This window comes from Homo sapiens, chromosome 20 (genome assembly GCF_000001405.40).
Source record: "Homo sapiens chromosome 20, GRCh38.p14 Primary Assembly".
Taxonomy (NCBI): domain Eukaryota; kingdom Metazoa; phylum Chordata; class Mammalia; order Primates; family Hominidae; genus Homo; species Homo sapiens.
The window spans coordinates 15,858,072-15,871,224 of record NC_000020.11 but is presented as its reverse complement, the minus strand read 5'-3'; the positions used below and the strand labels follow the sequence as shown (position 1 = coordinate 15,871,224).

Here is a 13,153-nt window from a genome sequence, read left to right as displayed (position 1 = left end):
TTTTTGAGAACTTTAAATGTTAATTTTATAATTTTTTTTTTTTTTTTTTGAGATGGAGTCTCGCTCTGTCACCCAGACTGGAGTGCAATGGTGTGATCTCGGCTCACTGCAACCTCCACCTCTCGGGTTCAAGCAATTCTCCTGCCTCAACATCCCGAGTAGCTGGGACTACAGGCGCCTATCACCACGCCTGGCCAATTTTTGTATTTTTAGTAGAGACGGGGTTTCACCATATTGCCAGGCTGGTCTCAAACTCCTGACCTTGTGATCCACCCACCTCAGCATCCCAAAGTGCTGGGATTGCAGGCGTGAGCCACTGTGACCAGCCAATTTTTGAAAATTTTGATAAATACGTAAAAAGCAGTGCTATACCCTTGTCTAGCTGTGTTAACAATACTTAAGAGTTTCTAGGAAAAACTGACTTTTTACCTGAAACTTTGGTTAAATATTCTCTCTGTCTTAATCTGTTTTGTGCTGCTACAGACTACCCCAGACTAGGTAATACGTAATGAACAGAAATGTATTGGCTCACAGTTTTGGAGACAGAGGAGCCCAATATCAAAGTGCTGGCATCTGGTGAGGGTCTTCCTGCTACATCATCACATGGTGGAAGACATCACAAAGTGGAAGGCAAAGGGCAAGAGGCTGAACTCACCCTTTTATAATGACACCAATCCCTCCCATGAGGCTAGAGCCGTCATGGCCTATCACTCTTAAAGGTCTTACCTCTTAATACTGTTACAACGGCAATTAAATTTCAACATGAGTTTTGGAGGAGATACACATTCCAACTGTAGCAGTTTCAGTCTAGGTTCGTGGTACGTTTTTATTTACATTAATAAACACCTACTATATATTTAGAATTTTCCAGATTCTGAAAGGGCAATGGAATATTAGGAATAATTTCTGTTCTCCAGAAACTTATTTTTTCATTGATGAGATCAAGATAAAAAGGTCAAATAATAATAATAATAATAATAATAATAATATAAAACCCAACTAAAGCTGCCTTGCAGGAGTGTGTATAGTTTAGACAGAAATAAATGGCAGAAATTCATGATTGGGAAAATAAACGAAAGATATATTCATATCAATAATATTTATTACATGTTTGGAAGACTATAAGGAGGTCAAAATAAGTGAAACGTGGTTGAGAAGTTTCTTGATTTGTTTCGTTTTAAAAATTTTGGCATGCATTTAAGATATTAAAAATTATTATCAAAATATGAATTTAGAATTTTCTTTATCATGATTATGCAAAGCTACACTTTCTCAGTGCTATCTGTATCTAAGAAGGTAAAATACATGTAACCTAAATATGTTCACGTACTCAAGTAAAGTGAATTAATAACATGTCTGTCAATATTTGAGAAATAAAATGTATGCATTTTAGCTAGACATTGAGATATGTTAAATATTCAAGAAGTTCCCGAGATATAATTCTCAAACTTGACTTAGGGTTTTACTTTATCATCTATATGCTTTTATGTTATATATAATACAAAAAGAAAATCTGTATTTAAGACCACAAAACATTTCCAGTAAAGTTTATAATTTATAAACTTATAACTCCTATGGATTAAGTTTACCTAGTTCTAACTACAAAACACTTGTTATACATGTTTTATGTCTACTATTTTGCAAGCTCATTTTTAAGGCATACAAACTTCTTGCAATTTTATAAGGTTTATCATTTTATGTTGTACCAGATAGATGTCCCAAATATTAATAGGTCAAATAGCTCATTATTTTACTATTTATGTCAAGAACATTGGGAATATTTTAGCTTTTTTTCTATTAATTTTTTAAATATAGTTTTAAAATTATTTTCATAGACATAAATAGAGTTTTTCATCTTAAATAAAATCTTCCTCTTATAAACAGGTGTCAGGTTTGGGATGAGCACATGGATATCCTGCAATTAATTTTCCTATCTTATTAGTTTTCCCAGCATTGCTCTCTCTCTCTCTCTCTCTCTCTCTCTCTATATATATATATATATATATATATATATGTTAATCACATTTAAGTAAAGTTGACATGCGTATTGTGTATACGTTATATAAATTTCAAAGCTGGAAACAAAATTGACAAATTTAATTGTTTTTATGGTTAAAAAATTAAAGAGATTAGAGCTGGGCATAGTGGTTTACACCTATAATCCCAAAGACTTGGGAAACTGAGGCAGGAGAATTACTTGAGCCCAGGAGTTCAAGACAAACCTGGGCAACATGGTGAGACCATGTTTCTAAAGAACAAACAAACAAATAAAATTAGCTGGGCATGGTGGAGTGTGCCTGTAGTCTCAGCCACCCAGGAAGTTGAAACAGGAGGATCCCTTGAGCCCCAGAAGTTCGAGGCTGCAGTGAGTTATGATCAGTATGATTGCGTTACTGCGCTCCAGTCTAGATGACAGAGTACGACCCTGACTCTGAAAAACAAATTTAAAAAATAGTAGTTGGTAGTTTTTTCAGTCATAGGTGATTTCATTGTGAATGAATCAGTTACTATGCAGATAATGATAAGGGGTTGAAGGTATCTAAAATTAAAACATATTTTGTGAGCTCACAAGGTAAGTTTATCAACCAATGGTCACCAAACTAATGAAAAAAAAAAAAAAAGAAAAGTATTAGCCCAAGAAGCAATGAAACTTGCTTAAGGTATATAAAGAAAATAATTAGTGAATTTGTTCTTCATTGCTCTGTATACTAGCCTTTAGTTCCACACTTTTATTAGATATATAAAACCTATGTAATGATCATATTTTCTGAGATTATTACTCTAGATTCATGGGCAGTAATAGATAAATGATACCAGGAGTGGGGTGGTGGCAGGAGGACCTGGAGAGTAGGGGTTGGGTGGCAGGTGTATGTGGTTAACAAAGGTCAAGATATAGAAATCTGTGGGTACAGAGTGAACAGAGAGGGTGCAAAACCAGAAGTCTGGACTAGGAGGGTCATGAATCCAGGAAGCCAGAGACCAGGCTGAGGGTACATGTTCCAAATCCAGCTAGATAGTTACTTATGGGTAAAGCATCAGCAGTCGAAACACTGTAAAATAACCCCAATCCAAAGGCAAAGACTGCGGCAATGGCCTGAGTGGTAAGAGACAGTACCAGCAGATGGAGCCTCTCAACCTCTGCACTATTGCCATTTAAGGCTGAATAATTATCTGCTGGAGGGTTGTGGAGGGTGCTGTACTGTGCACTGTAGAATGCTTAGCAGCACCCCTGGCCTCTAATCACTAGAGCACAGTAACCTCTCCCATCCCTCAGCTGTGAAAAACAAAAATGCCTCAGAATGTCCCCAGGAGGGCAAAATCGCTCGTAGTTGAGAACCATTGCAGTAAACAAAGGTTGGTTTTTCCTAAAGGGAGGAGTGAAGGAGGGTTTACCATGACAAGTCTTAAGCTTCCAACGTCAAGATTCTTTAATACCGTTATAAACCGTATGTTCTTTATTGTTATTACGGGGAAAATTAATATCCTTCAGTTCTCTAGCAGGACTAAGACTCTAGTAGAAAAAAAAGAAAAAATGACTTCCACATTCCAGATCGGGAATTGTCTTTTCTTTTCTTTTTTTAATTTTTTACGTCTAGTGAAAACTGCACACAATAAATTCTACACACTGAAAAAATACAAGCACTTTTATGTAAAGAACAAAGAGATTTCTGAGTTGAATCATACAAATATTATTTGCTGTAGGCCATGTAATGGTGCACTGTAACTATAAATTATTTGCAACCAAAGTGTATGATAATTCCATAAAGCTGCCACACTCTACTTTCAAATAATACTTGTGGAAGGAAAAAGTCAAATGTGCTTTACCCCACAGCAAGATATAAAACTGTTGAAAAAAAATTCGATGCTGGTTTCTTTCCCTGGAGTTTCTTAAAGCATTTCTACAAGGGGCAATTTTATGGGCTTAATTGTGCCCTGTGAATTTTTATGTTGAAGGCCTAACCCTCATATCTTAGAATATGACTGTATTTGGAGATAGGATCTTTAAGAGCTAATTAAATTAAAATAAGGTAATTAGAGTGGGTCCAAATCCCATTTGACTGGTATCCTTATACAAAGAGAAAGATACAGCACAAATGACTCAGAGGGAAGGTCATTTGAAAGTACAGGGAGAAGACAGCCAACTACAAGCCAAGGAGCGAGGCCTCTGAAGAAATTAATCTTGCCTCCACTTGGCCTTGGGCTTCTAGCCTCCAGAATAATCAGAAAATGTATTTCTGTGGTTTAAGCCGCCTGCTCTGTGGTACTTTGTTTTTAGAGGCCTGACAAACTAATATAAGCCATTTTCCATCTTGTCCTGTAGATGCTATAAAGGCCTTTGGGCTTCTCGTTTACCACTTACCTGCTCATCTGCAGGTAATAGCACCACAATACCTCTATAATGTGAATGGAATTCAATTTTGAGATGAATGATAAAAGTACTAATTCAACTCATATTAGAAGTTTCCATGAAGGTATTTATAGGTACTAGAAGAAGAGAAGCATGGCATCTCTGAAAAATGATGGGCAGCAGATGAAATGGGACTTTCCCCAATACTCCAAATGCAGCCTGGAAGTTGATCTCAGCCTTCTCTAAAGATGCTCTGAGAAAACGAACCTATTATCACTTGGGCAATGACAGATGCCAATCTCAATTTTAAAATACAGCTCTGTTGCTTCCTAGCTGAATCCTCGTTTTTCATGCCTAAAACATAGGGTATCATAAATTTGTTTCATATAGTTGCTGCCTTGGCATCCATTTTTTTTTCTTTTTTTCCTTTTGGTTTTAAAATCTCTACAATATTTATTTATTTATTTATTTATATTTTTTAGAGATGGGGTCTTGCTTCGTCACCCAGGCTGGAGTTCAGTGGTGCAATCATAGCCAACTGCAGCCTCAAATCCCCGAGCTCAAGTGATTCTCCCACTTCAGCCTCCTGAGTAGCTGGGACTGTAGGTATGTATGCACCACCACTCTCAGCTAATTTTTATTTATTTATTTTTTGTAGAGCCAAGTTCTTGCTATGTTGCCCAGGCTAGCCTGAAACTCCTGGATTCAAGCAATCCTCCTTCTACAGGCATGAGCCACTGTGCCTGGCCAGCCTCCATTCTTAGGCCTGACATAAGTTGTTTGAAACCCAGTTGTATCCTGTCACCTTTGGCCTACTTAAACTTCCCTCCCTGTGTGATCAGTTGTGATATGTTCCACTTGTTCCTCATCCAGCTGACCCCAAACCCAATATACTCCACAACTGCTGATCATGGTAAAAATCTAATAGTGTCAGAATCATCGAAGTAAGTTCCTGCTTCCTGAGTGTTTTCTTTAAACTAGCCAATCCACAACCCCCATGGGAAAGCCTAAGGGGTGGTGCATACAGAACTAATAAAGACAGCCCCCAGGTGCTTGCTCTCTCTTGCTGCCCACTTGCTGGCTGGGCTCCCTGCCACCTCCAGGCTTCCTGTTGGTCTCCTGTGGGCATCCCTCACCTGTCTGGGACTTGTGAGTAATAAATGCCTTCTGTTTTGTGCATTTTGGTTTTACTTCCTCGCTGTGTCTCCCCTGACATACATATCTGAACCCAATTTTCCCCCAACCCTTTTCAAAGCTTTCCTGGAGAGTGACTATCCTGGCTGATGGCCATTCTCAAGAGAGAGAAACCTTAAGACCAAATTAGAAAAAACCCTAACAATGGAACCACAGCACAGGGTTAATACGGTGCCTCCTTTCTTAGAGTTATCATGAAGATTAGTGATTTACCCATGTAAAGAAATGAATGCTGTGGCTGGCTAATAGAAAGCAATTCAAAAAGGTTTGAATTATTAGTAACCATTATTGTTATGTTATTAAATATATTAATTATGATTATTATTAATCATTATTATTGAACTGTAATAGCAATTATCATTGAACCATTATTATTGAACTGTAGTAGTTATGCATGTGGCATACCTTTAGTATGATCTCTTTGAGTCTTTTATTGTTTTATCATGCATTGTGTCTCAGATTCCCAATTATAAAATTTACAGACATGGGATTAAAGTACCCCAAAACACAAATATTTTGTTTGATTATAAAAATGACTTCTTTTCTAAACTATTATCATTATTGCATTGGGAAAGATTATGAACACTAGTTAGAGATATCATGAATAATAATGCACTATAGGGAAATACATGGCAAGTAGGAAGAAACGTATCCTAATTTAAAGATGGTATAGTTATGAATTAAACACAAGTTAAAATTAATGACAGGTAAGGTATATTATGTATATTAGTAGTCACATTCCATCATACATCACGCTTATTTCATATTGCATATTTAGAATTTTCAAATACCTAATGCTTCAACATTGCAGAAATCACAATTTTTGAGGATTTTGACATTTAGTTTAAAATGTACTTCCTATTGTAAATATGGACTGAAAATAATTTCATGAGCACTGTGTGCTTCAAAGCATTGATGTGAGATTGAGGATGATTTTATTATTTCACTTGCTCATGTACTGCAATGCATTTTAAAATGTATTTAAAGTAGCAATTTTTCAAACAATAATTTGTTTGCATAAGTATTAATATATTTTACCCTCCTAAAACTGTCTCATTTTAAAAAAAATTTGCAGTATGCTTTTTGACTGTGCATCATTGGAAATACCTGCTGATAGAAATATTTGTTTCAATATCAATTAGATCATAATTATGCAATTATTTTTTACCTTATGTTAGTATGGCTTCCTGCAGACTTTATTTTAGAATACATGAAAATGAATATGATGTCATTATTTCCAAACATCTCAAGGAGTCTAAAGTTTATAAAATCTTATCAATTATGATGTGATACTGACAAGACATGAGAATATTTGCTTCACACATCATGGCAAGTCACATTTAAAAATATAATTAGCATTTTCTTTTAACAATACTTCAAAATACAGGTACCAATCAGCTCAATATTGTCATAAAGCAAGTCAAAAGGAAAAATGGAGCAAGGACATTGAAACAATAAAAGTCATCAGATTAAGGCAAGAAAAATTTATTTAATTCAACTCGTCTCAACAACTAATTATTAAATAGCTGTTATGTGCTTCCACTCTGTAAAACACTGAGATGCTTGAAAAAAATGAAGAAAGGTGAAAGAAGGAGAAGGAGGCAGAGGAGAAAGAGAAAGAAGAGGAGAAAAAGATTATAACCACAGTCCTCTTCTTTATCACATGGGAATCTGAGGAATTTACATTATGTTTCAGTTAGAGGAATACTTTAGTTGAAGCCTTAAATTAAATGCACTTAGCAGAGCCAGCTTTCAATTATAAAATTAGGGAGAAGAACTTGAAATTACTTAGAAGAACTTAGTCCATTTAGGGCATTAGCAGAGAGCTGACCATCTCCATTGGTTTTTTGGTTTTCTACAGCTGTTCTGGATAGAACACATCCTACTCTGATCTACAGGCAAGGCATCCTCTTTATTGTTTGGCTCTGATAGACTGCTTAAGAGGATGAATATGCATCAGCACCCTTCATTCACTCCATCCCACCTGCCAGAGTCACCTGTGATATGACAAACTACTTCAGACGGAGACAGAAACCTCAAAAGAAAGCTCTCTGAAAGGCAAGTACCAACAATGCTCACAGTAGCTTGAAATTTCCTGGAAGCGATTCTTGCCATGGCTAAGGAAAGCACTTTGGACACTGTGACTTTAATGGCACCATAAAAATAACAAGGCATTAAACAAGCCTCAGCCTTAATAGGCTGGAAGAGGGAGAGTGGAGAAAAACATCCAAATTACCCAAATCCAACTAACGGCACATTCAATCGATGTAAATACATTACTCAAGGTTCTCTAATAACCCTGAGGTTTCTCCTATTTTCTAAAAAGAAGTGTGAATGACTGCCATTCTCAGACTGCACTAGAAGTGCTACTATAGGCATTGAAATTTGGAGTGAGAAACTTGGGAAGGAATAGGGATGGAATGCAGGAAAAGTTTGAATTCTGACTATGAATATAAATGGGCTTACAATTTCCAACAATGGTATTTAACATGGTAGATGCAGGCATGGGGCCTGGTAAACTTACAAGTTGGAGAAGGAATCACACATCATGCAATTTAAGGCCAGGGGAAGCATCTTTAGAAATCTTTTATTAATAATTAGCCCCTCAGTTTTGATGTGAGGCACCGAGAACCAAGAGATGAACTGACTTCCCCAAGACAACACAGTGACCTCTTGGGGCAAGAGTTCCACAGCCTAGATTTTCTGTTACCTTGTTCAGTTCTTAGAAACTATGATACAAGTTGGCAGGATCACCATGTGTAACAGTCCTGAAGATGAAAAACAATAGGAATAGAAGTGACGGCTCCACTTCTTCCATCCTCAATTTGAAAGAAAACAAGAAGTTGCTTTACTCACCTACGGAGAAAAACTCATTCATTTTCTTTTTGTAGATTTTGAAGTCAACTTCTAAGAAGACACAGAAAATGATCCGATCCACCTAGAGGCAAAAGATAAAACACTCAAAGTGAAAAAAAATATGGCAATTGCCCTGCCAGGACATAGCCGTAGAACAAAAACAAATGGAAAGGCCTCATACAGATTTTTGGTTCTATACTGCTATCTACATCATAGCATTGAGTGAAGTTCAAGGATGTGTGTAAGAATGTGTGTGTGTGTGTGTGCGTGTGTGTACTCTGTATATAAATAAACCTATGGGCTCTTTGGTGGAAAGATGCTATATAAATCAAATAAGAAATAATAAATGACAATAAGCCACTTTGCAGCAAGCTATAAATAAGATCTGAGATTCCGACAGGATAGCTAGACTTTATGTCCTATAAAACAGCCACACGAGAGGTATACAGCAGAATGACAATAAAGTATGTCAGTAAACAAAGAGCTCATTGTCCTACTCTTGCTAGACAAATATATTTATCAAACCTGTTAGTATTTGAACAAGGCCTAAAAAGCTTCCATGCAGTTTAGTTGGCATGAAGCCACTTGCTTTAATTTAACACACTTGGAAATGCAACAGAAATAAAAAGTAACTAGCTGACAGTGACGCAAGGTCGATATAACATTTAATTTTGTAGATATTATTGAATAAGTAAATGCCACCTCAAAAGTAAAATGTGTGCATAGTCCCTTTTTTGTTTTGAGGGAACTTCTGTATGTAAAGAGTTTCTTGGAAACATTCAGAGAGTAATATAGTAAATGGAGAAGAGACACGGAGTATACATAATAGCTCACATATATCTGATTAAATCAGTGACTTAATTTTGTGTCCTGGAAATAAATAACCCTTTAGTTATTTTGTTTTAACAACATAAAAAAATTGAAAAGCACTCACTGGCAAGTTGCATAGAACATCAAATGAGGTGTTTCTCGTGGCAGTAGGAAATGGAAGTGGGTGTACACATGGCAGGACAAGAAAGAACCCCCATGGAAGTCACCCACCTAACCTCCCTGCTCTCCAAACCTGTGTGATGCAGATCTCACTAGTAAGACAGTTCCCAGTAGAAAAGGAGATCTACAGGGGCAAGAAGTAGGGGCTGGGTTATAAACAATCACATTTTCTGACGGAAGACCAGAGATTTGGCTCCTTAGTCTCTGCCCAAGCCTAGACCTCACTTAGGGTAGACTGCCTCTTGGAAAATCACTCAGTTTCTAACCTGTAATCATCAAAGACCATGCAGCCCTTATAACTGCCTTCAAAGGATGGATTATAAGGGAAACGGGAAATGGAACAACTAGAGTACAAACAACCACATTTCTTTTTTCTTGTGTTCACTTTCGTGTCTGGTGTCCAGTCCTATCTGCCTATCATTAGCATTTTCTATAAATGCTAAACCTGTCATTGTCAACTCATTCCCCAGGTGAACTCTAAATTTAGTTGAATAAATGTAAACTGTGCAATAGTGAATGCTCATCTCCACTCTCTGTATGGCATGTTTATGTCCTGTGGCTAAAGCACAAAATCATAATGTTGAGTGACAGCAACAAGTTGCAAAAGGATACATACTCTCTGATACCATTTCTGCACACTTTCAAAACGTAAAGATACAAGAGTGTAGGGATCTATTCATAAGTACTGTTTAAATAATTAATTGGGAGGCTGTTAGACTGAGGTGGCTTAAGCATCCTGGATTCTTACATAATCAAACCAAAGTGTAAACAGTAAAAGGAATTTAAGCTTAGCCAGTCATACACTGCCAACTAATCTCTAACTAGGGTCTTTCCACTGGAATGATACAAATAAGGCTATTGCTCCACTTGGAGTGATCATATATTTTCTTTGACTTGTTTTCATGTCAACTCTACAAAAGCCCTTCATGCCCCTTCAGTGGAGCCCAGAATCACCTGCAATTTGGAGCTGCCCAATTCATGAATCGCTGTCTGCTCAAAAACATTCCAAAAATTTAAAGTGCCTCAGGAATATCGCACATAACTTTTTGAGAATGATGAGTTCTGGGGAGGGTGGGGAGGTAAAGGAGGAGGTAAGTAGGGAATTGACTGAAGACCTAATACTTTATTCCTTTAGAAAGAAAGGGGATTTGAGAAAAACATGGCAAATGGCTAATAGCTGCTAACTATGGGGATAGGTACATGGCTCTCATATTATTATATTTTCTATACTTTTATATATATTTGAAACACTTCATAATCAAAAATCCTAAAATTAAAAATAAGACTGTGCAGCCTCATTATCCTCCCTCAGACATAAACGACTCTCAAGCCACATTGAACTACTTGGAATTTCCAAAGATCGTAATTATTCTCACTTCTGTATCTACGATTGTTGACTTTTTTCCCCCAGGCTTTACGTGATCAGAATATTTCTAAAGTCAACCAACCGATCAAAAAATCAAAACAAGAAAATTTGGCTTAATGCAGATCTGAGAAGACAAGGCTGAACAGTGTCATTCCTACACATTTCCCCCATACTTAAAATCATTTAATATAAATTATGAAATTTAACACTCATGTTTCTTGTGTGAGTGTGTATAAATATGTGCATGAGTGTGTATGAGTGTGTGTTTGTGTATGGGGGGTTAATGGCAATGTTATTCTCTGCTAAGTGTACTTTTTTGTGTGTGTTTGTTTTTTTGAGATGGAGTCTTGCTCTGCTGCCCAGGTTGGAGGGCAGTGGCGCGATCTCAGCTCACTGCCACCTCCGCCTCCCAGGTTCAAGTGATTCTCTTGCCTCAGTCTCCTGAGTAGTTGGGACTACAGGCACATGCCACCATGCCCGGCTAATTTTTTGTATTTTTAGTAGAGACAGGGTTTCACCGTGTTAGCCAGGATGGTCTCGATCTCCTGACCTCGTGATCTGCCTGCCTCAGCCATGCAGACCATATACAGACATTTCAAATATTGGAAGGAACTATAATCTGCCTTTTATCATTTAGGCTCTGTTGCCATGGAAATGATTTAAGTCCAAAACTCAGCAGCCCAACTTATTTTCCCAGAAAAAAAAAAAAAAGCGCGGGGATGGTGACAGTGAAACACTTTTTAGTTTAAATTAATTGAGTGGCCCAATTCCCTGCCCTTACCCTTAGGCATAACACGGAAAATGTCTTGGAAGCAAGGTGAATCCAAGAATTAGTCTTATTCACTAAGTACTTATTATGTATGTATATGTGTATGTATTTATTATAAGCGTGCACAAACATATTCTCTGGGGTTATTGTTGAACAAGAGCTCATATAGTTGACAAGCTCCGTGTTTATGAATGCACCATGGGTACTGATCAGTGCTTGTGGCAGACTGTGTCTTCCAAGATGGCATGCGATGCGCTTTCCATCCCACAGCTCTTCTTACAGTGTAATAATGATACTCCCCTCATTGGGAAATGGGATCTACAGTTATTCCTTGAGCAACACAGGTTTGAGCTGCACAGGTCTACTTATATGTGGATTTTTTTCAGTAAAAGTTAAGCAGATCATGCCTGCCTCTTCTGCTTCCTCTTCCACTTCCTCCACCTCTACCACCCCTGAGAAAGTATACCTACCCCCCTTCCTCTTCCTCCTCAGCCCACTCAATGTGAAGACAATAAGGATGAAGACCTTTATGATGATCCACTTCCATCTCATGAACAGTAAATATATTTTCTCTTCCTTATGATTTTCTTAATAACATTTTCTTTCTCTAACTTACTTTATTGTAAGAATACAGCTATATAATACATATAACATACAAAATATGTGTTAATCAATCTTTATGTTATCTGTAAGGCTTCTAGTCAATAGTAGGCTATTAGTAGTTAAGTACCTGGGGAGTCAAAAGTTATACATGGATTTTTGACTGCACTGGGGATAGTCACCACTCACCCTCACATTGTTCAAGGGTCAACTGTAATTCCACCTCTTGAATCTGGGAAGCCTATGACTATGATAGAAATGATGCTGTATAACTTTGTAATCCATGAGGTGATACAGTTTCTGCCTGGTCTTCTTGGGAGCCTCGCTCTTGTACCCAACCACCATGCCATGAGGAAGCAGAGAGACAATATGGATCCAACTACCCTCACTGAAAGTAGGTAGACTTTAGATTATTTCAACTCCAGGCCTTTGAGCCATCCCAGCTAATGTCACACCAGCGGGAAACAGGTCAATCCTGCTAAATGCTGATTTCAAATTCATGAGCTAACCATCAAAATACATAACTAGAAATCTGATATTCTTCCAGCTTCTCCCTGTAACTGTTTTTCCAGAGTCTCTTGTTTTTCCAGCTATGTAGTACTTGACTCCTACTGAAAAGCCCAGACTGAATAAGTAAAAAAGAAGTCACAGTGGGTGAGGAGAAAGTCTAATTGTTATATGGCTGAGAGATTGGAAATCTGACTTGTACAAAGGAAAAAGGGCCCATATGCCCCATACTAGCCCCAGATAAATTTCATGAGAACCTATAAGAATGCCTCGCTATTGAGGCCCAGGAGCATTGTTTCATTTTTTTTTAAATGTTAGGCAGTAAAATAATTTTGTGAAATAGTGGTTCTTGAGAGATTGTATTCATTCATTTATTCATCAGATATAAAGTGATCATTTCCAATTTGTTGGGCCTAGCCTATATGCCATTCACTTATAGAAAACATGAGTCCAGGAATCGAGTGATTTTTTTTTTCCCAAGGCCCAAGCAATCAATTAAGGCAAAAACTCAGGTGTCTTCTTT

General features: G+C 37.3%; 1 protein-coding gene across 8 annotated transcripts in view; it reads right to left on the bottom strand.

Moving 5' to 3' along the window:
* MACROD2 (mono-ADP ribosylhydrolase 2) overlaps positions 1-13,153 on the bottom strand; it is a 2,057,682-nt gene that overhangs the window by 181,973 nt on the left and 1,862,556 nt on the right. For 5 of the 8 annotated variants that reach the window (NM_001351661.2, NM_001351663.2, NM_080676.6 and 2 more), the window contains one exon: positions 8,399-8,480. In NM_001351661.2, the coding sequence (NP_001338590.1) occupies positions 8,399-8,480 (82 nt within the window). Of the gene's footprint in view, positions 1-8,398; positions 8,481-13,153 lie in introns of those variants that run through there. The other 3 variants (XM_024451834.2, XM_017027675.2, XM_017027676.2) reach the window with 1 other exon arrangement.